The sequence below is a fragment of the Homo sapiens genome, chromosome 19, assembly GCF_000001405.40.
Source record: "Homo sapiens chromosome 19, GRCh38.p14 Primary Assembly".
In the NCBI taxonomy this organism is placed as follows: Eukaryota; Metazoa; Chordata; class Mammalia; order Primates; family Hominidae; genus Homo; species Homo sapiens.
The window spans coordinates 55260432-55287464 of NC_000019.10; the positions used below are offsets into that span (position 1 = coordinate 55260432).

The 27033-nt window shown below is 53.6% G+C and overlaps 2 protein-coding genes across 10 annotated transcripts in view, besides 5 other annotated features; one reads left to right on the plus strand and one right to left on the minus strand.

The window, feature by feature from the left end:
- Positions 1–1791: 1791 nt before the first annotated feature.
- Positions 1792–19952, minus strand: HSPBP1 (HSPA (Hsp70) binding protein 1). 9 transcript variants are annotated; one of them, XM_011526691.2, is made up of 9 exons: positions 19787–19952; positions 19604–19677; positions 18968–19271; positions 17211–17415; positions 13967–14191; positions 5700–5855; positions 5455–5551; positions 4847–4936; positions 1792–2251 (listed from the first exon to the last, which is right to left on the minus strand). In XM_011526691.2, exons 3-9 carry the CDS (start codon positions 19175–19177, stop codon positions 1939–1941), a joined length of 1296 nt encoding a protein of 431 aa, XP_011524993.1. In that variant the 5' UTR covers positions 19178–19271; positions 19604–19677; positions 19787–19952; the 3' UTR covers positions 1792–1938. The 9 variants fall into 9 exon arrangements, with proteins under 9 accessions (XP_011524993.1, NP_001123578.1, XP_024307204.1 ...); NM_001130106.2 differs by having other exon boundaries at positions 4847–4958; XM_024451436.2 differs by having other exon boundaries at positions 18968–19274.
- Positions 9982–10481: an enhancer, noted in NCBI's record as "H3K4me1 hESC enhancer chr19:55781781-55782280 (GRCh37/hg19 assembly coordinates)". NCBI's record gives its function as "activates a minimal SCP1, AML or CMV promoter by ChIP-STARR-seq in primed H9 embryonic stem cells {active_cell/tissue: H9 hESC(primed)}" and the evidence as "EXISTENCE:reporter gene assay evidence [ECO:0000049][PMID:30033119]".
- Positions 15809–15918: an enhancer, noted in NCBI's record as "active region_15088". NCBI's record gives its function as "activates an Ori minimal core promoter by ATAC-STARR-seq in GM12878 lymphoblastoid cells {active_cell/tissue: GM12878}" and the evidence as "EXISTENCE:reporter gene assay evidence [ECO:0000049][PMID:35858748]".
- Positions 17270–17770: an enhancer, noted in NCBI's record as "H3K4me1 hESC enhancer chr19:55789069-55789569 (GRCh37/hg19 assembly coordinates)". NCBI's record gives its function as "activates a minimal SCP1, AML or CMV promoter by ChIP-STARR-seq in naive H9 embryonic stem cells {active_cell/tissue: H9 hESC(naive)}" and the evidence as "EXISTENCE:reporter gene assay evidence [ECO:0000049][PMID:30033119]".
- Positions 19552–19691: an enhancer, noted in NCBI's record as "active region_15089". NCBI's record gives its function as "activates an Ori minimal core promoter by ATAC-STARR-seq in GM12878 lymphoblastoid cells {active_cell/tissue: GM12878}" and the evidence as "EXISTENCE:reporter gene assay evidence [ECO:0000049][PMID:35858748]".
- Positions 19812–20041: a silencer, noted in NCBI's record as "silent region_11021". NCBI's record gives its function as "represses an Ori minimal core promoter by ATAC-STARR-seq in GM12878 lymphoblastoid cells {active_cell/tissue: GM12878}" and the evidence as "EXISTENCE:reporter gene assay evidence [ECO:0000049][PMID:35858748]".
- Positions 23566–27033, plus strand: part of BRSK1 (BR serine/threonine kinase 1) — a 28566-nt gene continuing 25098 nt past the window's right edge. The window contains exons 1-3 of the mRNA NM_032430.2: positions 23566–24147; positions 26576–26670; positions 26783–26868. Coding sequence (NP_115806.1) covers positions 24012–24147; positions 26576–26670; positions 26783–26868 — 317 coding nt within the window. The 5' untranslated portion in view covers positions 23566–24011. The remainder of the gene's footprint in view (positions 24148–26575; positions 26671–26782; positions 26869–27033) is intronic.

Consider the following 27033-nt stretch of genomic DNA (forward strand, 5'->3'; position numbering starts at 1 on the left):
TGGGGAGGGAAGATCTTTATTCAGTCTACCGATTCAAATGCTAGTCTCTTCCAGAAATACCCTCATAGACACACCCATAATGTTTTACCAGCTATCTGGACATCCCTTAGCCCAGTCAACACCTGAAATGAACCATCACAGAGAGGCATTTCCTTTTCTCTTTTTTCTATAGAGATGTTTTGTCTTTTACCCAGCATTTGGCTTCCTTGTTTTCTCCACAATATGATGGCATCATTGCCACACTGTTTTAACACAGAGGTCAGGAACTGAGGGATAAGGATGTGGCTATAGTCCCTACCCTTCAAATGGAAGCTGGGAAGCTGTGGGGGCTTTAATGACTGAAGTCTGGATTTCCACCCAGCAGAACTCACAGATATACATTGTGTTTGCATTAGAATTGAAACTTTTTTTTAAGAGACAGGGTCTGGCTCTGTCGACCAGGCTGGAGTGCATGGCACGATCACAGATCACTGCAGCCTCGAACTCCTGGGCTCAAGCAATCCTCTCGCCTCAGCCTCCCGAGTAGCTGGGACTACAACTGGAACTTTTTTCTTGAGACAGGATCTCAGATCCTGCAGCTACCTCTCAATTTATCCTGGATTTAGGAAGAGGAGTGATAAAAACCAATCCAAATAGACTCAAAAATCCCAGATCCACCAGAACAATCCACACAAAAGGAATGAGTCTGACATCAAATTGTCCTAGGAAACCAGGATACAAGAAAGAGGAGGATTGGCCGGGCATAGTGGCTCACACCTGTAATCCCAGCACTTTGGGAGGCCGAGGAGGGTGGATCACCCTGTCAAGAGTTCAAGACCAGCCTGGCCAAGATGGTGAAACCTGGTCTCTACTACAAATACAAAAATTAGCCGGGCGCGGTGGCAGGCGCCTGTAATCCCAGCTACTTGGGAGGCTGAGGCAGGAGAATCTCTTGAACTCGGAGGGTGGAGGCTGCAGTGAGCCAAGATCGGGCCACTGCACTCCAGCCTGGGCAACAGAGTGAGACTCCCGTCTCAAAAGAAAAAAAAAAGAAAGAAAAAGAAAAAGAAAGAGGAGGATCGCTCTGGAATTAGTCCAGCTGTGAATCCTGGCTGTGAACTTGGTCAGGGGTCAGCCTCCTCTGAGCTCAGCCTCCTCTCTGGAAAAACAACAGCTTTCAAAGCTCTTGTCTACAAATGACAAAATTTCTTGTAGCTAAACAGAAAAGGAATTTATTAAAGGAATTGAGGCAGCCTCCGACACCCCCACCTCCCGCCCCAATCCCACGTCTCTGAGAAAGCTACAGAATCCGCTTGGCGCTTTGCAGTCAGGAATGAAGCCCACACCCAGCCACAGGCCTGCTCCTGAGACACAGTGCAGCCTCCATCAACGGCACCTGGCTCAGACACTCCCGCCAGAATCTCTGCCAGCCCTGTCCAGAAGCCAGGTGTGGCTGCTCCTGCACTAGCCAGAAGGGAACCTGGGCAGGGGCCCCTCCACCGCCAACTCTTGGCCCGACGACCGGCGGGCTCTGATTGGTAGAGGAGCTAGACCACCAGCGGGTTCTGATTGGTGTACAAAACAGATTCCCAGAGAGAGTTCTGATTTGTGGAGCTAATGTCACATGATTACCCTACAGCAAAGGATGCTGGGAAGGGAAATGGCGGCTACCCTAGGGAAAATTTAGATGTCTAACCTGGGAAATTCCTCAAACCTAGAATTCAGGTTTGCCAGGTGGCCGAAAAAAGGACAGATGTCCCACACACTGTTGCTCAGGAAAGACAGGGAAGAGTAAATGACACAATGGCTCTATAGATGATAAAGAGCAACACTTTTATTATTCTTCCAGTGGCTCCCCAAGTCCCTTAAACCCGTGCCCCTCCTCCCGTCCCCCATGCACCCTCCAAAGGAGATGACAAAGGCGGCAGTGAAGGAGGAGAAGGAGGAAGAGAAACACCTTTATTGGAAGAGCTGTGTGGACAAGAGAACGGGGATGAGAGTGAGAGCATGGGAGGTGGGGTCCAAGGAGCTGGTGCCTTTCTCAGCGCCCCTTCCAGGGACTGCACAGAGACGGGCTGGCACACCCTGGGTCCAGGCACCTAGGCCCTGCGATCCCTTGGGAGAGGGCCTTGTAGGTGGGGAGGGAGGCAAGAGGCCTGGGGTTCCCACGGAGAAGGGGGCAAGAAGCCACCTGGTTTCACCGATCCATGCTGTCGTCCGCTGGGCTGGAGAAACAGGTCTGTAGCAGCTTTTCACAGAACTCCAGCTCCTCCTGGATTGGGCAGGGGCAGGGAGCAAGGGGCCTGAGTGCAGAGGCCGGACCCTGCCTCCAGCATTCTTGGCACCCAGAGGTGACTCCTCTTCTCTCCTGGCCACCACCCACTCCCCCCCACCAGAGGTTAGGCTTTTTTAATCACTGCTCAGATCCATGATTCACTGTCTTCACACTGGTGTCTGAACTACTTGAACTAGAACCCGGGGTCCCCCAGACTCGTCTCACTCCATTGGTCTGCCTCATATCAGCACTCTTGGGCTCTTTCTAACTCCCAGATATGGACCACTGCTCAAAACTTTCTGCGGATACAAACCCCAGAAACCATGAAAGAAAGCACTGAGAGGTTAAACTACGTAATATAAAAAATACTCCCATGGCAAAAAAAGAAAAAGAAAACGAGGTTGGAGAAAAATATTTGTGATTCATAGCACAAATGGCTAATATACTTAACTCTTAAAGAGCTTAAAAAAGTCATTCGCAAAAACCATCACCCAATAAATAGATAAGTGGGCAAAGGATGAGAACGAACAGTTCACAAGAAAGAGAAAAGATGCCAAATTTCACTCATGGGAGAAATGTAAACTGGACTGGAGTACTACTTTTCAACAATCAGTTTGAAAAAAGGTCAAATGGTTCATCGAGGCCACTTTGTCCTGACCAAGATTTGGGGAGTTGGGCACCCTCATGACTGGAGTGTCAATGGTTGAACTTCTATGGAGAGCAGCTTGGTGATAGCTAATGAAACGGCCCTTAACCCTTTAACCTTCACCTTTAACATACCTGACCCCAGCCATTTCCCTTCTAGAAATTGTTCTACAGACATATGTAATAACATATACAAAAGGTTATTCTTTCAGCAGTGTTTGTCATAGCGAGAGTGTAGAAACAACCTGCATATCCATGCTACAAAAAAGAGCCCATCCGCACTGTACAGCTGCAAAATGAAAGAGCCACAGGCGAGACATGCAATGCCCACAAAGCAAGGGGCAGAACAGCCATCACAGCACGGCAGGCTTATTTTGCATAACATAGAGAAAAAGGAGAATTCACATGCACCTTTGCTCGTGTGTACCTAATATTTTAAGAAGGACACCTGAGCAACTGGGTAGCCAGAAGGAGGGGCAGGAGAGAGACTTTTCACTGTTTACCCTCCTGCGGGTCTTGTATTTTCAACCATGTGACTACGGAACCTATTCACAAAGCATTAGTAAAATCTGTTACAAATCTAATTTGAATGTTTCCACGGGTGTATACATAAGTCAAAACTTCTCATGTAGTACACTTTTTTTTTTTTTTTTTTTGAGATGGAGTCTCACTCTGTCGCCCAGGCTGGAGTGCAGTGGCGCATCTTGGCTCACTGCAACCTCCGCCTCCCCGGTTCAAGCGATTCTCCTGCCTCAGCCTCCTGGGTAGCTGGGATTACAAGCACCTGCCACTATGCCCAGCTAATTTTTTGTATTTTTAGTAGAGATGGGGTTTTACCATGTTGGCCAGGCTGGTCTCGAACTCCTGACCTCATGATTTGCCTGCCTCGGCCTCCCAAAGTGCTGGGATTACAGGCGTGAGCCACCATGCCTGGCCATGTAGTACACTTTCAATACATACAGACACTTGACAGTGTCTACACAGGAATGAATCTAATAGAATATAACGTCCCAAGGAGGTGGGTGCGTTTGCTAAGCTCGGCTTTGCTGAAGCACCAGCATTGATTCATTCACTTCAACAAATTAATGCATTACTTAATCAGTTAACTATTTGAATTTTAATTAGTTGTGATTTAGCATTTGTTACTTATCTAGTTATCTAATGAGTTATTTATTTGCCCCTTATCTAATTAAATATCTGATGACTTGTTATTTATCACTTGTTATTTACCCAAAATAATTGGTTATTTTTTGCCATTTGTTATTTCTTGTCAATTTAATGAAATAGTTAAATCATTAAGACATTTGAGTGATATTATATTCAATTTACATTTACTTAATGTAAAACAACTGTATTGGGTAATTTAGATAATAATTCAATGATTGGGCAACACTTTAAGAATCTCCAAGCTCCTGTCTCCTTGCTGTCTCTCCTACTCTGACACAGCACGGGACGAATGCTAGGCATGAAATAAACATCTGCTGAATGGAAGATAAGTGAAATGCACGAGAACACGAATGAAAGCCTGAACCAGCGGACCCAGGAGCCCCCAAGGGCAAGGACTGGCTGGCTCTGCCCCTACTAGGGTCCCCACTACCACACTTGGTCTAACCTGGGGAATTCCTCACCCCCCAGGCCCCTCCCCCTCACACCTGGTCCTCCTCACACCCTGTCCCTTCCCCAACTCACCTGGTCCTTCTGGAGCCGCTGTCCCCTCCCCCGGCACACGATCCTCCTCGAACCCCATCCCCTGCCCCTCACACCTAGTCCTCCTTGCACCCCGTCACCTCCCCGTGTACCTGGTCCTCCTGGAGCCCCTGTCCCCTCCCCCTGGCACCTGATCCTCCTCGAACCCCATCCCCTCCCCACACACCTAGTCCTCCTGGAGCCCTTGTCCCCTCCCCCTTGCACCTGGTCCTCCTTGCACCCCGTCCCCTCCCCATGTACCTGGTACTCCTCATGCTGCTGCAGCAGCTGACAGCGGTGGCGGAGGAGCTCCTCCAGGCCCAGTTCCGGCTCCCGACACTCGCGCACACCCTGCGGAAAGTCTGTCACCAGGCTGTGAGGGACATGACAGCGGCCCTTAGGACCTCCCTCTAGAGGCCTCACTGACCCAACCCTATCGCCCGCCCCGTCCCCTGGCTCACTCAGGAGCCTGGCAAGTCGCTGCCCCACAATGGGCCTCCATTTCCCCATCTGCGGAATGGACCTCACGCTGCCCCTGGCCCAGGGTGGGTGCTGAGGGGCTCAGCACAGGGCCTGGTGCGTGTCAACTCTGGTGTGCTGTTGAGAGCTCCAGCATCATCTGATTAGACACTAATCCACTGGTGGGGGCGTGTACAGAAGCCTCTCTCCCTCCTGCAAGGCCTCTGTGCCAGCCCTACTGGTGAGGAAACTGAGGCTCCCTGACTCCTGCTCCTTTCTGGCCCCACACCCTTCCTCTCTACGGGAAGGTCCCAACTCCTGAGTCCCTACGGGCTGATTCCTGAGCCACCCCCACCTTGAGAGGACGGGGCCCCCACCCCAGGCCCCGTCCTCTCAAGGAGCCAAAGTACCTGCACAGGGCTCCAAGCACGTGCTCGTGGAAGGGGCTGTGCTCTGTCCGCACCAGGGCCACCAGCTGCTGGACCATCCCCATGGAGCACAGGGTCCCTGGGGGGAGGGCTGCAGGGGTCAGAGGGGCAGCCCCACCCATCTCCTATGCCCTCCCCGGGATGCCTGTTCCTCCCCTTCTCCCACACCTGCACCCACCCCAGGGCGTCTGCTCCCCACTCCTGCCCTCACTCAAGGGCTGCCACACCTTTGTGTTCAGGGTGGCCCACCAGCAGGTTCTGCAGCAGGAATGCTGATTTGACCTTGAGCTTCTGCACCTGCTGCTGCATGGCCCTCATCAACACAGAGAAGCCGTCCAGGCGGAGGAACTGCAGCAGCCCAGCCTCCTGCTCTCGGACCAGACCTGGGAGAGGGGGAAAGGTCCTGAGCTTGCAGTCACCACCACCACCACTGTCATCACAAGCACCATCACCAACATCATCACAACCACCATCACCAACATCATCATCACCACCATCACCACTATCTTCACCACCATCACAATCATCATCATCACCATTCTCATCCTCACCACCATCACCATCACCACCATCCTCACCACCACCACCATCACTATCACCATCACCACCACCACCATCACCACCACCATCATCACCATGACATCACCAACATCACCATCACTATCACCATCACTATCACCATCACCACCACATCACCATCACCGCCATCATCATCACTACCATTAACAATATAATTATCGTCAATCATCGTCACCATCATCACCACCAACCACTATCATCCCTTGCCATGGGCCTGCATATGCAAGCATTATCTTTTTTTGAAGTATGCTTTTGAGATATAATTCACAATCCACACAGTTCAGCCTTTTAAAGATATTCACAGGGTTGTATAACCATCACCACTAACTCTAGGAAATTTTCATCACCCCCCAAAGGAAACCTATGAGCAGTCATTCCCAATTTCCCTTCCCTCTGGCCCCTGCAACCACAGATATACTTTCTTCCTTTATGGATTTACCTGTCCCAGACATTTAATATAAATGTGTCCATAAAATACGTGACCTTTTGTGTCTGACTGCTTTCACTCAGCATGATGTTTTCCAGGTTCATTCATGTCGTAAGTGGTATCAGCACTTCATTCTTTTTCATGGCTGAATAACATTCCATTGTATGGATATACCATATTTTATCCATTCCTCCATTGATGGAAGCATCATCTTTTTTAATTTTTTTATTTTATTTATTTACTTATTTATTTCATTTTGAGATGGACTCTCGTTCTGTTGCCCAGGCTGGAGTGTGCAGTGGAGCAATCTTGGCTCACTGTAACCTCCGCTCGCAGGTTCAAACTATTCTTCAGCCTCAGCCCCCCAAGTAGCTGGGATTATAGTAACCTGCCACCACACCCGGCTAATTTTTGTATATATAGTAGAGACAGGGTTTCACCATGTTGGCCAGGTTGGTCTCAAGCTCCTGACCTAAAGTGATCCACCTGCCTGGGCCTCCCAAAGTGCTGGGATTACAGGCATGAGCCATTGCGCCCGGCTGTGTCATCTCTCTCTTTTTTTTTTTTTTGAGACAGAGTCTTGCTCTATCATCCAGGCTAGAGTGCAGTGGCACCATTTTGGCTCACTGCAACCTCTGCTTCCCAGGCTCAAGCTATTCTCCTGCCTCAGACTCCCGAGTAGCTGGGATTACAGGTATGCACCACTACACCCAGCTAATTTTTGTATTTTGAGTAGAGACAGGGTTTTGCCATGTTGGCCAGGCTGGTATTGAACTCCAGACCTCATAATCCACCTGCCTCAGCCTCCCAAGGTGCTGGGATTACAGGCGTGAGCCACCGTCCCCAGTCCGCAACATCTTTTAATCCTCACAATTATCCTGGAAGTGTGTGCTTTCAGAATTCTATTTTACAGATGAGGAAACTGAGGCCTAAAGAGCCAGGCTACACAGCATGCATGACCTTTATCCAGAGGGCAATGAGAACTCTGGAAGGACTCCCAGCAGGATGAGAACTGACCTTTGGAGTGCACCTCCAGTAAGGTGCCCCCTCCTGGGTAGGCTCTAGGCCTGTGCTGGCCAAGAAGGACAGAAGCTGCTAGTAGCTTGTGGCCACTAAACACCTGATATGTGGCCAGTGCAACTAAGGAAAAGAGTTGTTCATTTCATTTAAGTTCCATTCATTTAAACTTAAGGTGAAAAACTGAAGCAGTGTAAAATATTTTCCATTAAACACAACGTTGGCTGGGCGCGGTGGCTCATGCCTGTAATCCCAGCACTTTGGGAGGCCGAGGTGGGCAGATCACTTGAGGTCAGGAGTTCGAGACCAGCCTGACCAACATGGTGAAACCCCGTCTCTACTAAAAATACAAAATTAGCTGGGCGTGGTGGCGTGCGTCTGTAATCCCAGCTACTAGGGAGGCTGAGGCAGGAGAATCATTTGAACCCGGGAGGTGGAGGTTGCAGTGAGCCGAGATTGCGCCATTACACTCCAGCCTGAGCAAAAAGAGCGAAACTCCATCTCACACACACACAAAAAGAAAACCAAAAAAAGAAAAACACACACAACGTTGTTGCTCTGGCGCACTCCACACTACCCCTGAAAACTCAGCATGTTGCGATGTGCTTCATTTGTAAAATGCACACACTAGGTTTTGAAGACTTAGCATGACAAAAAATACAGTGTCTCATTAATAGTCCATATTAATTACACATTGAAATTATAATAGTTTGGACATATTGGGTTACATATTTATTTATTTTAGTTTATTTTATTTCATTTTTGAGACAGAGTCTCGCTCTGTCGCCCAGGCTGGAGTGCAGTGGCAGTTGGCTCACTGCGACATACGTCTCTCGGGTTCAAGCAATTTTTATGCCTCAACCTACCGAGTAGCCGAGATTACAGGCATGCCCCACCATGCCTGGCTAATTTTTTGGTATTTTTAGTAGAGACAGGGTGTCACCATGTTGGCCAGGCTGGTCTTGAGCTCCTGGCTTCAAGTGATCCACCTGTCTCGGCCTCCCAAAATGTTGAGATTATAGGCATGAGTCACCACGCCCAGCCAGATGTTATTTAATTAAAGAAAGAAAAAAGAACAGGCATGCATGGACTGGAAAACACAAAGACTCCTCTCATTCAATCTGTAAGCAAGGCCTGTCAGCTCTACCTTCAAAATGTACCCAGGAGAGACCTGTCCCCTTTACGCCAGGGTTTCTCCACCTGGGCACGGTTGGTATCTGGGGCCAGATCATTCTGGGTTGGGAGGCCCGTCCTGTGCATTGCAGGATGTTGAGCAGCATCCCTGGCCTCTACCCAGTAGATGCCAATAGTCCCTCTCTCCCAGCTGCGACAACTAAAAATGTCTCCAGACATTTGTCTAAATGTCCTGTGGAGGACACGATTGTCCCTGTTTGAGAACCACTGCTCCCTACCACAACCTTGATCTCTTGCCTAGGTTATCACCATAACCCCCCAGCTCACCGCCCACCTTCCACCCACCCTCGCCGCATTCACCCTCTTCTCTGTGCAGCAGTTGGGGGCAGGGATCACAGTATGGCTGCCGTCATTTTTGGAAAGAAAGCCAAAGTCATCACTGCAGCCCACACATCTCCCTTAAAAAAGTTACGCTTATTCAGCGCTAAAAAGAAATGAGCTATCAAGCCAAGAAAAGACATGGAAGAACCTTAAAAGCAGATTACTAAGCCAAAGAAGCCAGTCGGAAAAGGCTGCAGATTGCATGGTTCCAAGCATATGACATTCTGGAAAAGGCAAAACTATGGAGACAGTAAAAAGCTCAGGGGTGGGATGACTAGCGGGAGCACAGAGGATTTGTAGGGCAGCGAGATTCCTCTGTAGAATACTACAGTATGGATCCATGTCATGATACAGTTGTCCAAACCCATAGTACATACAGCATCAAGAGTGCGCCCCAGTGTCAACTATGGACTCTGGGTGACAATGAGGTGTCCATGTAGGTTCATCGATTGTAATAAATGTGCCACTCTGGTAGACTGTAACAAGGAACCACTTTGGAGTGGCTCCACAGAGGGCGAGCGAGTCCATCCCCTCCTGTCCTGGGAAGGGCAGTGGCACCACCGCCTCGGGCAGCAGGAGCTGAGGGGACGTACCCTGCAAATGGCTCCCAGCACGGAACTCCAGTAATGGTACTGGACAGCCACACAATGGCATACCCTGCAGCCACCAAAAAAAAGGACAGATGCCACTGAATGGTATACTTTAACATTTTCATGTGAATTTTACCCCCGAGCAAAAAAAAGAATGGCATCCAAGCTCCCAGAGCTCTTGCCCTGCATCGTGCACAACTTTCGCTGGGGAAGCCGACCACCACGTGGTGAGGCCGCTCACGCAGCCCGAGCTTCCTGCCAACTGCCAGCAAAACTCTGCTAGCCCCGGGGCGAGCCATGGTGGAAGCCCATCTCTAGCACCCCTTCCTCAGAGGGGGATTGTGAGGGATCAATGAGGTGCAGCGCACAGGGCTTAGTGCAATGAGACCTTCAGGGAACGAGGCCCGGCTGACGGCTGACCACAACCTCATGCAACCTCATGCAACCTCATGAAGACGCAAAGCCAGAAGCCGCCCTCCTCAGCAGGGGCCACTGCTGCATTCCTCACCCGCAGGAAGGGGAAAGATAAGCTACTGTTGCTTAAGAAAAAAGGACAGAGGCAGGTCAAGGTGCGCCACAGTCAGGATGGCCTGTGCCAGCCGTGCACATCTGAGGAAACGAGATTAATCCGTGTGTCTGTGTGCACACATACCACACACGACACACTCCACATAAGCACACACCACACACCCCGTATACACACACCACATCCACACATCCCACACACGCCATGCACATCCACACACCACACATACGCACCACACATACACACCTCATATGCACCCCACATACCCCACACATATACATACATCCCCCCAGCACACACATCCCACACACATACACATGCAACACACACACCACACACACCTCCACATATATACCACACACCACACAACCCATGTACACGCTACACTAACACACGACACGCCAAACACCCCACATACACACCATACACACCCTACACACGCGCCACACACCCACTACACACACACATCACACACACACCACACACACCCACATTTGTTCTTACAGATTTATTAAAATCTCTGGAAGCAGAAACAGGTATAACAGTGGTTTTCTCTGGAATGGGGACCAGGTTTGGGGACAGGGACCATTTGCTATGTACTCTTTTGTACCTGGTGAACGATGTGACTGTCTCACAGATTTTTAAAAATATGTAATGACTTTTTTTTTTTTTAGACAGGGTCTCACTCTGTCACCCAGGCTGGAGTGCAGTGGCACGATCTCAGCTGACTGCAGCCTCTGCCTCCCAGGCTCAGATGATCCTCCCTCCTCAGCCTCCCAGGTAGGTGGGACCAGGTGTGAACCACCAAGATGACCTAAAGACTTCTTTTTTAATGCAAGCTATTAGAAGAAAACTCTGCCAGCCCCTCTCTACCCTGCTCTGGCCCTCGGGACACCATGTCCTTCTCTCTGCCCTTTGTGGCCGAGCTGCCCCATGTCTGTCTGTCCCTGTCACCCTAGTTTTGGCTGTGACTTTCCAAGTGCCCCTTTCCTTGCCTCATCAGAATGCTTCCTTCTTCCGGAATCTCCTCCTACCCAAACCCTCCCTGTTCTCCTCCCAGCCTCTGCATGGCTGGGGCCACCATCTGCCAGGAACACAACACTGATTCCAGGACTCAGGATACATGGGGGTGAGGGAGAGAAAGAGGGTGTTGGACCCCCCTCACAGCCCCCATTTCAATGACCAGATAGGCTGCTGGAATTAAAAAATAGCCAACCTCAGGCCAGGCACAGTGGCTCATGCCTATAATCCCAGCACTTAGGGAGGCTGAGGTGCTCACCTGAGGTCGGGGGTTTGAGACCAGACTGGCCAACAGGGTGAAACCCCGTCTCTCTGTACTAAAAGTACAAAAAAAATTAGCTGGGCATGGTGGCATGTGCCTGTAAACCCAGGTACTTGGGAGGCTGAGGCAGGGGAATCCCTTGAACCTGGGAGGTGGAGGTTGCAGTGAGCCGAGATTGCGCCACTGCACTCCAGCCTGGGCCACAGAGCGAGACTCCGTCTCAAGAAACAAAAAAAGAAAAAAAAAAAAGCCAACCTCGAACAGATTAAATGTAGAGTTACGATATGACCCAGCAACTCCACTGCTAGGTATACACCCAAGAGAACGGAAAACAAATGTCCATAAAAACACCTGCGCAGCTATGTCCACAGGAGCACGAGAGCCCAGAGATACAAGGAAACCAGGGACTGTCAGCAGACAGGCGGAGGAAGAGGCAGGGCACGGTGGACCCACGCAACAGGACACATTCAGCCGCGGGAAGGAACACAGCACTGCCACCCGCCACCACTCGGGGACCTTGCAGCATATGAAAGGAGCCAGGCAGAAAAGGCCTCACGGTGTGGGATTCCGTTTGTACAAATGTCCCGGAGAGGGAAATCCTTAGAGGCAGTAAGTAGATTCATGTTGCAGGGGCTGCGGGAGAGGACGGACGCCGAGTGATTGCTTAACGGGTACAGAATTTCTGCTTGGGGGAGAGGATGAAGATGTTCTGAAATTTTGGCCGGGCGCAGTGGCTCACGCCTGTAATCCCAACACTTTGGGAGGCTGAGGCGGGTGGATCACCTGAGGTCAGGAGGTTGAGACCAGCCTGGCCAACAGGGTGAAACCCCGTCTCTACTAAAAATACAAAAATTAGCCGGGCGCGGTGGCGGGCGCCTGTAATCCCAGCTACTTGAGAGGCTGAGGCAGAACTGCTTGAACCTGGGAGGAGGAGGTTGTAGTGAGCCGAGATCGCGCCATTGCGCTCCAGCCTGGGTGACAAGAGCGAGACTCTGTCTCAAAAAAAAAAAAAAGAAAGAAAAGAAGAAAATGTTCCAAAATTAGATAGTGACTGCCGATAGCCATACCACCCCGAACGCGTCTGATCACATCTAAAATTAGAGAGTGATGATGGCTGCACAGCACTGAATACACTAAGAAGTACTACGTTGTTTTTCTGGTTTTTGTGTTTGTTTTCAGACAGGTCTTGCTCTGTCACGCAGGCTGGAGATGCAATCATGGCTCACTGCAGCCTCAACTTCCCAGGCTCAGGCAATCCCACCACTTCAGTCTCCTGAGTAGATGGAGGTACAGTCACGCACCACCACGTCCAGCTAATTTTTTAATTTTTGTAGAGACAGGGGTTTCCCTATGTTGCCCAGGCTGGTCTCAAACTCCTGGGCTCGAGCAATTCTCCCGCCTCGGCCTCCCAAAGTGTTAGGATTCCAGATGTGAGCCACCACGCCTGGCCAAGAGTACTAAGTTATACACTTTAAAAGGATGAATTGTATGGCCTATGAATTACATCTCAATAAAGCTGTTAGAGAAAATAAAAGGAAAGAGTCCAGTTGGGGCGCTAGTATAGCACATGCAGGCAGGCATCCAGCACATACGAAGAGCTCCACCAGGCTGGGATCCTGGCTCTGTGTGTCCTCTCCAGACCCCCTGGCCCGATCCCTCCCGTGTGGAGGAGACACAGTGGGCCCAACTTCAGCAGGTGTGCATAAGGATTCAGCGAGTCAACACCTGGCATGGAGAAACTGCCCCACAGATGTTGGTTTTTGTCCCGTCCCTGTGCCCGACCTGGTGCCTGTGTCCCAGGCGGCAGTATTTGGGGGAGTCCTGGCCAGCTCTGCCCTATGGAGCTGCAGAAACCTGGCCGTGTCCCTCTGCCCACACCTCAGTTTCTTCCCCTGTCAAATGAGGATGCAAACGGTCCCTACTTCACAGGCCATTAGGATAAAAAGAATTTGTGGCTGGACATGGTGGATCACACCTGTAACCTCAACACTTTCAGAGGCCAAGGCGGGAGGATCCCTTGAGGCTAGGAGTTCAAGACTAGCCTGGGTAGCAAAGCAAGTCTTGTCTCTATATAGGTTAAATGAAAAAAAAAAGAAGAAGAAGAATTCATGTACAGCAGGGGTTCTGACCAAGGGGCTTTCTACATCTAGGGGCATTTGTGCGCTGGCAGGTGGGGTGATAGTGTCTCTCCATGGCCTGGAGGCCACCCACCAGATGCTGCTCAATGTCCTGTAGTGCACAGGACGGCCCCCGAGAGAGTGAACCAGCGCCAGTGTGAACAGTGCCCAGCTGAAAAACTGCTGTGTGCAAAGCGCTCACGCTGAGGGCCAGGTGGTCTCCCCGGGAAGTGGTCACATCTGCTGCCTGGCTAGCAGGGGGTTTGGCCGAGTGCGCCACTCACTCTGCCCGCAGCACTCAGCCGTGCAGGGGTCCAACAAGCATGGGAACAAACGAGGGAAGGAGATGCCTCTCCCTCTGCCCCAGCAGATCCCGGGGGCCCACCCGGCACCCCCCCCCACCGCCAGCACCCCTGTCCCCAGCCCCACCCGGACACTCACAGGAGATGGCGAAGAGGGCCTTGACGCGCACCGTGTCGCAGGCGTCGCGGTCCAGCAGCCGCAGCAGCTTACGCAGGGCACCCAGGCCCAGCACCTGCTCCTGGATGGCTGCCACGTTCTGACTGCACGTGCCGATGAGCTGTGCCGCCCGCCACCGCAGTCCCGCAGCCCCCGCCTCCAGGTACCGGCCCACCAGCAGGTGCATGCCAGACAGCTGGCAGAAGTCTGTGCCACAGAGGGGAGCAGAGAGAGGCCAGATGTTAGGGACTGAACCGTGCCCCCCAAAATGCATGGGTTGATGTTCTGACCCCCAGTACCTTGGAATGTGACTGTTTTTGGAGATGGGATCTTTAAAGAGATCATTAAGGTAAAATGAGGTCCTTAGGGTGGGCCCTAATGCAATCTGACTGGCGTCCTGATAAGAAGAAGAGATGAGGACACAGACACCCACAGAGGGACAACATGGAGGGAGGACACAAAAAATGCCTTCTGCAAGCCAAGGAGAGGGGGGCTCAGGAGAAACCAGCCCTGCCCACACCCTGATCTCAAACTTCTAGCCTCCAGAGCCGTGAGAAAATACATTTCTGTTTTTAAAGCCAGTAGTCTGTGGTGCTTGGCTAAGGTGGCCCTAAGCTGACCACTACAGCTGCTGAGGCCGGGAGAGCCAGGCCGGCTCCCACAGGGACGCAGCTCTCTCCAAACACCCAACCAGAGGTCCCCCCAAGGCTAGTACAACTCGATTCCATCAGCATTTGGGGCATTAGGGCCCCAGGCTCCAGACTACTAAATGCCAGGACTGATCCTGGTCTTTGTGACAATCTGAATGTCCCCAGGGTCAGCAAACCACAGCCCACCTCCTGTTTTTGTAAATAAAGTGGTATTGGAGAGCGTGGCAGTTCCTAAAAAAATGAAATACAGATTCCCCGTGACCCAGCAATTCCGCACCAAGGCACAGACCCAAAAGAACCAGAAGTAGGGACTCAGATACTTATATACTCAAGTTCATGGCAGCATCATTCATAAATGACCCAAATGTCCTTAAAGGATAAAGGGATAAATATAAACTGCTCTAGCCATACAACGGAGTATTACTCAGCCATAAAAAGGAATGAAGCAGCTGGGCGTGGTGGCTCAAGCCTATAATCCCAGCACTTTGGGAGGCCAGGGTGGGCAGATCACTTGAGGCCAGGAGTTCGAGACCAGCCCAGGTAACATAGCAAAACAGGGTTTTTGCTATGTTATATACTAAAAATACAAAAATGCCAGGCCTGGCCAGGTGCGGTGGCTCATGACTGTAATCCCAACACTTTGGGAGGCCAAGGTGGGTGGATCACGAGGTCAGGAATTCAAGACCAGCCTGGCCAACATGGTGAAACCTCATCTCTACTAAAAATACAAAAATTAGCTGGGCATGGTGGTGGGCGCCTATAAGCCCAGCTACTCAGAAGGGCAAGGCAGGAGAATCGTTTGAACCCGGGAGGCACAGGTTGCAGTGAGCTGAGATCGCGCCATTGCACTCTAGCCTGGGCAACAGGGTGAGACTCTGTCTCAGAAAAAAAAAAAAAAAAAATTTGCCAGGCCTGATGACATGCACCTGTAATCCCAGCTGTTTGGGAGGCTAAGGTATGAGAATCACTGAAACCCAGCAGGTGGAAGTTGCAGTGAGCTGAGATTGCACCACTGCACTCCAGCCTGGGAGACTGACTCAAAAAAAAAAAAAAAAAAAAAAGGAATAAAGCTCTGACACACGCCACAACATGGGCACGCCGCCTTTAGCACAATCAGCCAGACACAAAAGGTCACGTTATAATCATCTATATGAAATGTCCAGAACAGGCAAATTCATACAGCCAAAACGCTGATTAGTGGTTGCCAGGGGACCGGGGGAGGGCCGGCCTAATGGGTGCTGGGTCTCCTTTGCAGGCAATGGAAAAGTTCTGGAAATAGAGGTGGTGTTGCACAACATTCTGAATTGACTGTAAGTGGTATAAACAGTCATATGGGAGGATGTTCCCCTCAGCCCACCTTCATCAGCACTGTGCATCTTCATTAAGACAGAGAAGATACACATATATATTTATATTTATATACACAGAGAGCGCACGAGGCCAGGGAGGAAGTGGTATCTTTGGCTTTCGTTCTCATTTGATTACTAATAAGGTGTAAAATTGCTGCTGCTGTGATGATTGGACACTCAGCACAGTGCTTAGCACACAGCAGCTGCTCAACAGATATTTCCTGAACAAGCAAAAAATGAATGAAAGAGCAAAGTCGTTAAAAGCCATCCTGCGGATTGGAGCAGGAGTTCTCTGCCCGGATAAGACGGGGAGACACTGGGGAAAGGTAAGCTAGAGGGTGGCGGCTGCACTGCAGGTCTTCTCGGGGTGCTGCATGCGCTCACAGAGGAGGGCTTCCCAAACTCCGTCCAGCCCCTGTCCAAAATGAAGACACCTGACTCCCAGGCCTGACACGTTACGTTTACTCTGTGCCTGGTGTTGTGCGGGCCTGGGGGTTTCTCTCGGCCCAGCCTGCGTACAAGAGGAAGTAATCAGGACCTGCCCAAACCAGACTGCCATGTAGCAGCACAGCCTGAACTATGAACCAAGGAAGTGACACCCCAAATCCACACCCTCAATTGCTACACCACCCAACCCCTCCAAATGGAAGTGAGCTCTCCTCAAACCTTCTGTGAGCTCTGCTGCTTGGAGTAAAACAGCATTTACCTCCCCATCTGCGAGGCCCACCCCAGCGCTGTTTCCTGCGCCTGGCCCCTCACTCACTCTACTCTGCCTCAAGGGCCTGGCTGCTGTTCCTGAACACACCAGGCACACTCTGGCCTCAGGGCCTTTGCACTGGCTGTTCCTACTGTCTGGAATGCTTTTCCCAGAGATCATCCCACAACTCTCACCTCACTTCAGGTCTCTGATCAAACGTCACCCCGGGGAGGCCTTCTCTGCCACCCCACCCATGCCACTTTCCCTCTTGTACTCTGGGGAGTGGCAGTGGACACCCAGAGGACTAGGAGAGAAACAGCCATCTCAGAGCTGATCAGGGAAGTGGGGGACTCCACCTGCCATGAGGGTGAGGCAGAGCCTTGCTCCTTATGGCAATGGAGGCGAACAGGCTGATGGTGAGAAGGCAGCAGGGAGGCTGACGGTGTGAGCCCCAAGAGTAGGGGCAAGAGCTGAGAGGCAGCAGGACATGTACAGAGGGGCAGAACGTCCTGGCGGGGGAAGCGGGGTACCTGCGGCATTGTCCATGTTCTCACACAGGTCGGCCAGCAGCTCCAGGGCCCCCTCTCGCTCTTGCTGGTCGGCCGCCTGCTCGGCCTCCCCAGCAGTGGGGGGCATGGGCTGTGACAGCACTCGGAGGCAGCTCTTCATCTGCTCCACCTCCTCCCGCTGGCCTCGGAAGGCAGCCGACATGGCCTCCTGCAGCCACTGACGCCTCTGGAGACCAAGGCGAGGAGGAAAGAAGGAGATCCATCAGTCATTCATTACAAAGGAACAGCCATTAATAAAGACAGCCAACAACTGAGGGCTGATGTTCCTTCAGTCAACAAATATCGGCTGGGAGCTGTGGCTCATCCCTGTAATCCCAGCACTTTGGGAGGCCGAGGTGGGTAGACTGCCTGAGCTCAGGAGTTTGAGACCAGCCTGGGCAACATGGTGAAACCCCGTCTCTACTAAAAATACAAAAATTAGCCAGGCCTGGTGGCGTGAGCCTGTAATCCCAGCTACTCGGGAGGCTGCAGCAAAGGGAATCGCTTGAACCTGAGAGACAGAGGTTGCAGTGAGCCAAGATCAGGCCACTGCACTCCAGCCTGGGCAACACAGTGAGACTATCTCAAAGAAAAAGGAGATGAGAGCTAATACGTGACTGCTGGAATTTTTGGGGGTGAGGGAGGGGAGCAGAGGTCTCCTTAGTCACAGTTCTAAGTAAATTTGAGTGAGCTATTTAATGTTTCTGTGCCTGTTTCATGCCTCACTGTTGTAAAGGTTCAATGATATCATATATGTAAGTGGGTTAGCATAATGCTCTGTATACAGTAATTGTCGATTAAACATTATATATAATAGCTATCGCTATGAATCTGCAAAACAACTCTATGAGGTATATATCATTGTTATCCCCACTTCGCAGATGAGAAAGTTGAGTCACAGAAAGGTTGAGACTTACCCAAGGTCACACAGTCAGCAATTGGCAAAGCCTGAAATCAAACCCAAGCAGTCTAGGCTGGGCGTGCTGGCTCACATCTGTAATCTCAGCACTTTGGGAGGCCGAGGCAGGTGGATCACTTGACGCCAGGAGTTCGAGACCAGCCTGGCCAATGTAGTGAAACCCCTTCTCTACTAAAAATACGAAAATTAGCCAGGCATGGTGGCCCATGCCTCTAATCCCAGCTACTGGGGACGCTGAGGCATGAGAATTGCTTGAACCGGGAAGTCAGAGGTTGCAGTGAGCCAAGACTGCGCCTCTGCACTCCAGCCGAGACTGTGTCCTCCACCCCCAACCCTGCCCCCACCAAAAAAAAAAAAAAAAAACAGCAGTCTGACTACAGAGCCTGTGCTCTTCATGAAAACACACTGCTGCCTTCAGAAGCACTGTCTGTATGCTGGGCACTGTGTGCAGCCCTACTTAAAGTAGAACCTCAGAACTACCCTATACGGTAGTTATTATTATTATCAATTTGTAAATGAAGAACTTGAGATTCAGAAAGATGAAGTAATATACCCAAGGTCACACAGCTGGAAATGCTGAATCCAGGTTAGTCTGGCTCTGGAGAGGATATGTCCCCTCAGACTCTCTTGAGATCTGACCTTCAGTCAACGATAACCCCATCTAGCACAATTTATAGCCCACAATGCCTCCACACCTGGTTTTCTGCCTCCCACCCAAGAAGACCCTAGTCTTCTTGTGGCTCCCCAAGTCACACTTCCCAAGGCAACTCTATCTGTCCCCAGGCCCCTCACCCCAGCTTCTTGGGTCCCCATCCTTTACCTCCTCACTCATCGGTTCTGGAGGAGGGTCTGGCTCTTCAGAGCCCGCGGTGATGGCCATCTGCAGCAAGCCTTGGAGGTTGCGTGGGGGCCGGGAATTGCCCGAGCCCCCAGCCGAGGAGCCGCCGCCGCCGCCCCCTGAAGAGCAACCCTGGGAGGCCGGGGGCAGCGCCAGGGGCAGGCGGCTCCCCCTTGAGCCTTCGTCTGACATGGGCCGTTTGTGAAGAAGGGAAGAATGTGTTAGAGGGAGAAGGTGGTCACCGCTGAAGCAGCTCTGGCGTCCTGATGGGTCGATTCTTGAGGGTCTGCTGAGAAGGCGGCGTTTCAGGGGAGCTCGGCGACCCCCCATGACCCCAAACCACTCTGCCCCCAGCCCACTTAACCACAGCCCCTTTTCCTTCCTTCATACCCACAGGACCCTTCCCCAAAGTCATAAGCCTCTCCTTTCTCCCTAGCAACAGGCCCCACCCACTCTCCCTGGCAACAACCCCCCTTCCCCATCTCCACTGCGTGCGTCCCGTCTCTTAGCAACCTCACTGCTCCGCCTCCGTAGCAACAAGCCCGCCCTTTGGTCTCCTTAGCAACAAGTCTTCTCCCTCCTCTCCGAAGAGGGGCGCCGGAATAAGGCGGATCTCACCTCCCCGGGTCCTCAAGCCGCCGCTGCTCCTACAGACAAAGTCGTCCGCACCTGACTCTGCTGGGCGCCGCCATCTTAACCGGAAATACGCACGGTTTCACCCGGAAGTGCCAGGCGTACCCACCCAACTTCGTGCCGTGGTTGCGGCTGAAGCTGCTTGCCCGACTCTTATCCCCTTCTCACCTGGCGGGATACTGCACTCGGCCCCGCCCCTCCCATCCGGGCCCCGCCTCCAAGCTGGGACGCCCCTTCGTGCGGGCGCCGCCCCTTCACGCTCAAGTAGCTGGTCAAAGCCCTGCCCCTGGCCCAGTTTTCGCACCTCAGCGAGTCCCGCCCCCGATACTTTTGCAAGCTCCACCCCTCTTCTAACGTGTGCCCCGCCCCCAGGTCTGACCCCGCCCACCCTACGATTCCCGCCCCTGCTCTAGGCCTTTCAGACTCTCCCAGTTGGGCCCCGGCCCCTTTACAGGCCCCTCCCACTCATTGCTGTCAGTCATCCTTAGAAGGTTTGGGACCTCGCCCCAACTAATCTGACTTTCGCCTCCACCGGGGCCACCAACCCCATCTACAGGAGCCCTGGGGTCGCAACCGTAATGGCTGGCCTGTGAGCCTTATGCCCCCCGCAACCCCTCTCTCGGCCTCAGTTTCTCCATCTGTCAAGTGGAGCTGCGGCGTGGATCCCTCTCATCACCCAGCCTCTCCCTCATGGACTCTTCCCCATGTCCTGCCAGGTGGAGAGGAGAGGATTCTTGAGGCCTAGAGCCGGAAAGCAAAGTGCCCCAGAGCCCAGCAAGATTCAGAGCGCCAGAGGAGCCAGCTTGGTGGGGAGGCCCGAGGCCTCTGTGCTCCAGAAGTGGGGTTTAGGCCTGGGCACGTGCTGGTGCGGGCCGATCTGCAGAGGTGTTGGCCCTGGGCTGGGCTTAAAGAAACTCCCGTGTTGATCCTGGATAGGAGGCGTTTTCCTCCAGGAAAAGGTTGTGCTCAACGCAAAACGGGCACACAGTCACAAACGTATCAATCACCTGCTGGGCGTGGTTGTGCAGGGGGATATTTTGGGCAGAAACAGGAAGACCAAACAGATAGGTTGTGTGTGTATGTGTGTGTGTGTGTGTGTGTGTGTGTGTGTGTGGTGTTTCTAGCACTGTGCTGTGAGATGCATCTGGGCCTGTGGATGTGCTATTATATTAGTTTCCTATTGCTGCTGTTAACAAATTACTAAGAATGTGGTGGCTTAAAACAGCACACATTTATTATCTTGCAGTTATGGAGGGCAGAAATCCAAAATGGGTTTCACGGGGCTGAAATCAAACTGTCAGCAGGATTGCATCACTTCTGGAGGCTCTCGGGGAGAATGTTTTTCTTGCCTTTTCCAGCTTCTAGAGGCCACACTCTTTCTTTGACAGGTGGCCCCATCACCCCAAGTTCTGCTTCCACCTTCCCATCTCCATCACTGACTGCTCCTCCTGCCTCCTTCTCACAAATACTCTTGTGATTCCATCGAGCTCACCCAAATAACTGGGATAATCTCCCTATCTCAGTCACATGGGCAAAGTCCCTTCAGCCATGCAAGGTAACTTATGCACAGATCCTGGGAATTAGGACACGGACATCTATGTACAAGTCTATCAGTTTATAATACATGGCCGGGGGCAGTGGCTCAGGTCTATAATCTCAGTACTTTGGGAGGCCAAGGTGGGAGGATCACTTGAACCCAAGAGCTCGAGACCAGCCTGGGCAACATAGTGTGTCCCCAGCCCTACAAAAAAATACAAGAATTAGCCATGTGTGATGGCATCTGCTTATATCACAGCTAGGCAGGAGGCTGAGGCAGGAGGATCACTTGAGCCCAGGAGGTCGAGGCTGCAGGGAACTATGACTGCCCTACTGCACCCCAGCCTAGGCAACAGGGGGAAGACCCTGTCTCAAAAAACAAAACAAAACAAAAAAAAGAGGGTGATCATATAATTTTTCATCTATAGCAAGACATTTGAGAGCAAAAAGGGACTCAATAGTTACAGAACCAGGCCAGGTGTGGTAGCTCACGCCTGTAATCCCAGCACTTTGGGAAGCTGAGGTGGGCAAATCACAAGGTCAGGAGTTTGAGACCAGCCTGACCAACATGGTGAAACCCCATCTCTACTAAAAATACAAAAATTAGCCAGGCATGGTGGCGGGTGCCTATAATCCCAGCTACTCGGGAGGCTGAGGCAGGAGAATCGCTTGAACCCAGGATGTGGAGGTTGTAGTGAGCTGAGATTGTGCCACTGCACTCCAGCCTGGGAGACAGAGCAAGATTCCGTCTCAAAAAAAAAAAAAAAAAAAAAAAAAAAAAAAAAAAAAGGCTACAGAACCAGCCTGGCTAACAGGGTGAAACTCCATCTCTACTAAAAATACAAAAAAAGCCGGACGCCTAAAATTGTACCCTGCTCAACAGGCCCCTCTTAACCCCCTTCCCTGCTGTAGTCACCTCCTCAGCACGGACATGATTATCTAACACACCATACATTTTGCCTATTGACCTTGCTGATCATCTGTTTCATCCACCAGCATGGAAGCTCCACAGGACAGGCCTTTTTGCTGATTTAGGTCACTGCCACGTTCTTACCAACAGGAACAGTGCCTGGCTGAGATTTGGCACTCATTAAAGATGTGTGGACTCAAGGTGTTGAATGGGGGACTGGGAAATCTCACAGGAGCCAATAGGCTCCTGTGTGCACTTTATTTTATTTTATTTTTGTTAGAGACAGGGCCTCACTCTGTTGCTCAGGCTGGAGTGCAGTGGTGCAAACGTAGCTCACTGCAGCCTAGAACTCACTGACTCAAGCCTCAGCCTCCCAAGTAGCTGGGACTACAGGCACATGCCACCATGCCCGGCTAATTTTTAAAAAAATTTTTGTAGGGATGGGGTCTCACTGTGTTGCCCAGGCTGATCTTCCCACCTCTGTCTCCCAAAGTATTGGGATTACAGGCATGAGCCACCTTGCCCAGCCCTGGGTGTGCTTTACAGGGGACTTGAGAATTAAATGGGTGTCTAACACTTGCGGGTACATGACATAGAGGGATCTATGGTTTATGCGGAAAGCTAATGGGGGCAGGCGGGTTACTCACAGGCAGAGCACATGCTTGTGGACCTGCTACAGTGGGGATGTATGGGCTGTACTGGGGTCCACATGAAGATATAAAGGACCCTATGACGAGCACAGAGAATATATGGGGGTCTAAAAACATAACACAGGGAAACTGAGGGGGTTCTGGAAGCTTCTCTGTAAAGAGAATCCAAAATCACTCTGGGCTGTGGGTAGATATGGGGCCTTGACATTGGTGGGGACACAGACTTACCCTTACCCTGAATGGGTGGCCTTAGGGGGCTGGGGAAACAGACATGAATTTTGGGTCAGCAACTCCAAGAATTCTTTCCCCTCTCTGTCTCTGTCTCCCTCCATATGTCCCCACCTCTCCCCAGCACGTGTCCCTCCACCTGTGTGTACCCCCGGCCCTCTCTACAGCTCCATCTGCGCCCCCTCTCCCCCACCTCTCTGGTTGGTCTTCCTCTCTCTGTCTCTCTGAATCTCTGACTCTCTCCATCCCTCTGTCGGCTTCCAGCAGCTTTCTCTCCCTCTCCCTGTCTGTTTTCCCGGCTTGCCATTCCTTCCTTCTCTTCTGTCCCTGTCCATCTCTGCCCTTCCTCCCTCTCTGCCTCAGCCTGTCTCTGGTGGTCTCCATCCCTCTGGCGTCTCTGCCTGTCTCCCGTCTCTGTGTCAGCCAGCATCTCTCTTTGTGTATCTCCATCTCTGCCCCATCTGTTGGGTCCTCTCTCTCTCTCTCCATCCTTCCCTCCATCCTCTCTCCTGCATCCTCCCACCTCCTCTCCATCCCTCCAGCTGGAGGCCCGCCCCCTGCCCCCCCTCGCTCCCCCTCCCCCCTCCGAAAGGGTTAACTTTGGGGAAGGGCCCGGAGTCCCCGGATGGTGATGTCAGCGTGCCGGAGAGAAAGGACGAGGTGGCGGGGGGAGGCGGAGAGGAGGAGGAGGCGGAGGAGAGAGGGCGCGTGGGGGGGCGGGGGGGACCTCGGCCTGCAGCATCCGCCGGCCCGCACCTCAGACCCCCCCGGCGGGGGGAGGCGCAGGAAGCGGGGGGCCGGCCAGAAACGGGCTGGGGAGGGGGGGCCCCGCAGCCCCCCTGGGCCATGCTGACTCCCGGGGCCTGACCCCCCCGGGCCAGCCCCCCCTCCCCCAGCTCCGCGGCCCGCCGACTGGGGGGGGCCAGCCCAGCCCCCTGGGGACCCCCGGAGAGGTGGGGGGCAGCCGGGGGGGCCGGGACGGAGCGGTCGCCGGCCCCCACCGGAGAGACGGGGCGACGGCCGCAGGGGGGGCGGCCGGGGGACCGGTCGGGCCGGGACCAAGGGCACCATGTCGTCCGGGGCCAAGGAGGGAGGTGGGGGCTCTCCCGCCTACCACCTCCCCCACCCCCACCCCCACCCACCCCAGCACGCCCAATATGTGGGCCCCTATCGGCTGGAGAAGACGCTGGGCAAAGGACAGACAGGTGAGCCTAGCAGAAGGGGACACCTGGGGCGGGGGGCAGGGTGGAGGTGGCGGCAGAGGCGGGACTCAGGGTATTCAAATGGCAGGGGCTGGCTGCCCAGACCCCTGGGCCCCTCATAGAGAAGGGACTTGGGATTCAGACTCCTGGGTCCCTGGATGGAGGGGGTGGGGGGCGCAGACTCAGGTCCTGGAGGAGAGGGGCTGGGGGCCTGGACTCCTGGGTCTGAGGGAGGAGGGGCTGGGCACTGGACTCCTAGGTCTGAGGGAGGAGGGCCTGGGGGCCTGGACTCCTGGGTTTCAGGGAGGAGGGCCTGGGGGTCTGGACTCCTGGGTTTCAGGGAGGAGGGGCTGTGCTTGGACTCCGGAGTCTGAGGGAGGAGAGGCTGGTGGCCTGCACTCCTGGGTCTGAAGGAGAAGGGCTTGGGGGCCTGGACTCCAGGGTCTGAGGGAGGAGGGGCTGGGGGTCTGGACTTCTGGGTCTGAGGGAGGAGGGGACTGGGGTCCTGGACTTTTGGGTTTGAGGGAGGAGGGACTGCGGTCCTGGACTTTCAGGTCTGAGGGAGGAGGGCCTGGGGGCCTGGACTCCTGAGTATGAAGGAAGAGGGTCTGGGGTCTGGACTCCTGGGTCTGAGGGAGGAGGGGCAGGGGTGCTGAACTCCTGGGTCTGAAGGAGGAGGGGCTGGGGGCCTGGACTCCTGAGTCTGAGGGAGGAGGGCGGTCGGAACCTTGAGTGTTGGGACAGGGAGTTTGGGGCCCCAGTGCTCCAGTCCCCATAGGGGCAGAGGCTGGAGGGGCTCCAGGGCCAGGGAGGGGATGGAGGCGGCCTGCAGAGTGGGGCCGGGCTGGGACCTGAGGTTCTTGCTGCAGTACAGCTGCAGACCGGGGTGCAGTGCATCCATCCTGGGAAACCTCTTCCCTCCCCACTGTCCTCTGGCCTCCAGTTCTCCAGGCAGCAGGTTGGGGTGACAGGGGCCGTGGGGCCTAAGACATTCTCCCCTTCTCTGGCATGCTGGCTCAGAGTGGGAAACAGGATGGAGGGTGGGAAGGTGGGCTGCAGCAGGCGCGTCTCCTGGAGCGGCTGTGGAAAGGGCGTTCATCCTCTGCTGTTGCTGAACGCTGGCCACCGGCCGCGGCCTCCTTCCTGCCGGATGGATGGTGGGTGGAGGTGACATGGGAGCTGAACGCCCAGAGTCTCTATGAAGCTCAGGGCCAGAGCTGGCAGGAGTGGGGACCGACTGGGCCGTAACTGGGAGCTGAGACCCTAGGGAAAAGGAGAGGGTCAAAGTCCCAGATCCTGAGTGGTAAGAGTGTGAAGGTGTTGCTGACCTGAATTCCTGAGTTACAGGAGAAGAAGGGGTCAGACCTGGACTGGGTCTGAGGGAGGAGGGGCTGGGCCTGGAGTGCTGGGTCTGAGGGAGGAGGAACTGGGGGTCTGGAGTGCTGAGTCTAAGGGAGGAGGGGCTGGGGGTCTGGAGTGCTGGGTCTGAGGGAGGAGGGGCTGGGGGCCTGGAGTGCTGGGTCTGAGGGAGGAGGGGCTGGGGGCCTGGAGTGCTGGGTCTGAGGGAGGAAGGGGCTGGGGGGGCTGGATTCCTGGGTCTGAGGGAGGAGGGGCTGGGGTCTGGACTCCTGGGTCTGAGGGAGGATGGAATGGGGGCCTGGACTCCTGGGTCTGAGGGAGGAGGGGCTGGGGGTCTGGACGCCTGGGCCTGCAGCTTTAGGGGCTAGTCAGGGCTAGGTCTGTGGCTTTGGGGGCTCAGGTCCTGGAGTCGAGGGTCCTGAGGAGAGGTGTGGGCTAGGAGACCGGACATACCCTTGGTGTCTGTGTGCTGTCTGTTAGGGCTGCCATGAAGAGAAGACCCAGGAAGGCAGTTGAGGCTGGGGGTTCAGGAGAAGGTGGAGGGTGATCTGGGGAGGGGCAAATGTGAGATTATATTCACTGGGAGGGGATTCAGGAGGAGGTGGAGGGTGGTCTGGGGAGGGGGCAAATGTGAGACTATATTCGTTGGGAGTCATAGGGTCTCCAAAAGATTGAAAAGCAGAGAATACAAGGAATTGATGGAGAGAGACAGAGAAAGTGGGGGGGCGGGGGCTTGGAGGAGACAGACTCGGGGAGACACGGTGAGGAAAGAATGCGTGGCAGGCGGGCTCCCCAGGACGGAGAGGGTGAGGGCCAGGGGGTGGCTGGCAGAGGAGAGGGGCACCTGGCTGGATGGACAGTCAGGAGGAACGGACTGGCAGGAGGGAGGGGAAGGGTGGTTTTGTGGGAGTGTGGGCTCTCAGCCCCAGGAGTTCAGGTCTGATGTGTTCAGGCCATTGTTAAACAGCCAGCCCAGGAGGAAGGAGCAAACAGGGTGGCCAAGGGGGGACATAGGCGCTGGGGACGAAGGGGACCCGGCGGAACACCCCACATTTTCACCCTGCTCCTGCAGGGCTGGTTAAACTCGGGGTCCACTGCATCACGGGTCAGAAGGTCGCCATCAAGATCGTGAACCGGGAGAAGCTGTCGGAGTCGGTGCTGATGAAGGTGTGTGCGCCTGCTGCAGTGTGCCTGCGGGTGGGGGGGCCTCCGGGGCTGAGGGCAGGGGCGGGGCCGTGCTGACCTCTTTTCCCGTGTCCCCACCCCTCTTGACCCTCAGGTGGAGCGGGAGATCGCCATCCTGAAGCTCATCGAACACCCACATGTCCTCAAGCTCCACGACGTCTACGAGAACAAGAAATATTTGTAGGTATTTATAGACACCCAGCCCTACCCCATCCTCCCTCTCCAGGTTACCAGGGTGGGACTTCTCCAGAAACAGGGCCTAGGGGGACCTGGGGGACCTGCAGCTCTCCAGGCTGGACCGCTGAAGGCCCAGTTCCTTGCCTGTTGCACAGGGAAGCCCCTGAC

What these genes read in the sequence shown, in the direction of transcription:
- HSPBP1 (XM_011526691.2), bottom strand. Translation starts at nt 19,177, where the DNA reads ATGTCAGACGAAGGCTCAAGGGGGAGCCGCCTGCCCCTGGCGCTGCCC. An exon ending in CAGAACCGATGAGTGAGGAG is followed by an intron (nt 17,416 to 18,967) that starts GTAAAGGATGGG and finishes CTTGGTCTCCAG; the next exon opens with AGGCGTCAGTGGCTGCAGGA. An exon ending in GGGCCACCCTGAACACAAAG is followed by an intron (nt 5,552 to 5,699) that starts GTGTGGCAGCCC and finishes CCCTCCCCCCAG; the next exon opens with GGACCCTGTGCTCCATGGGG.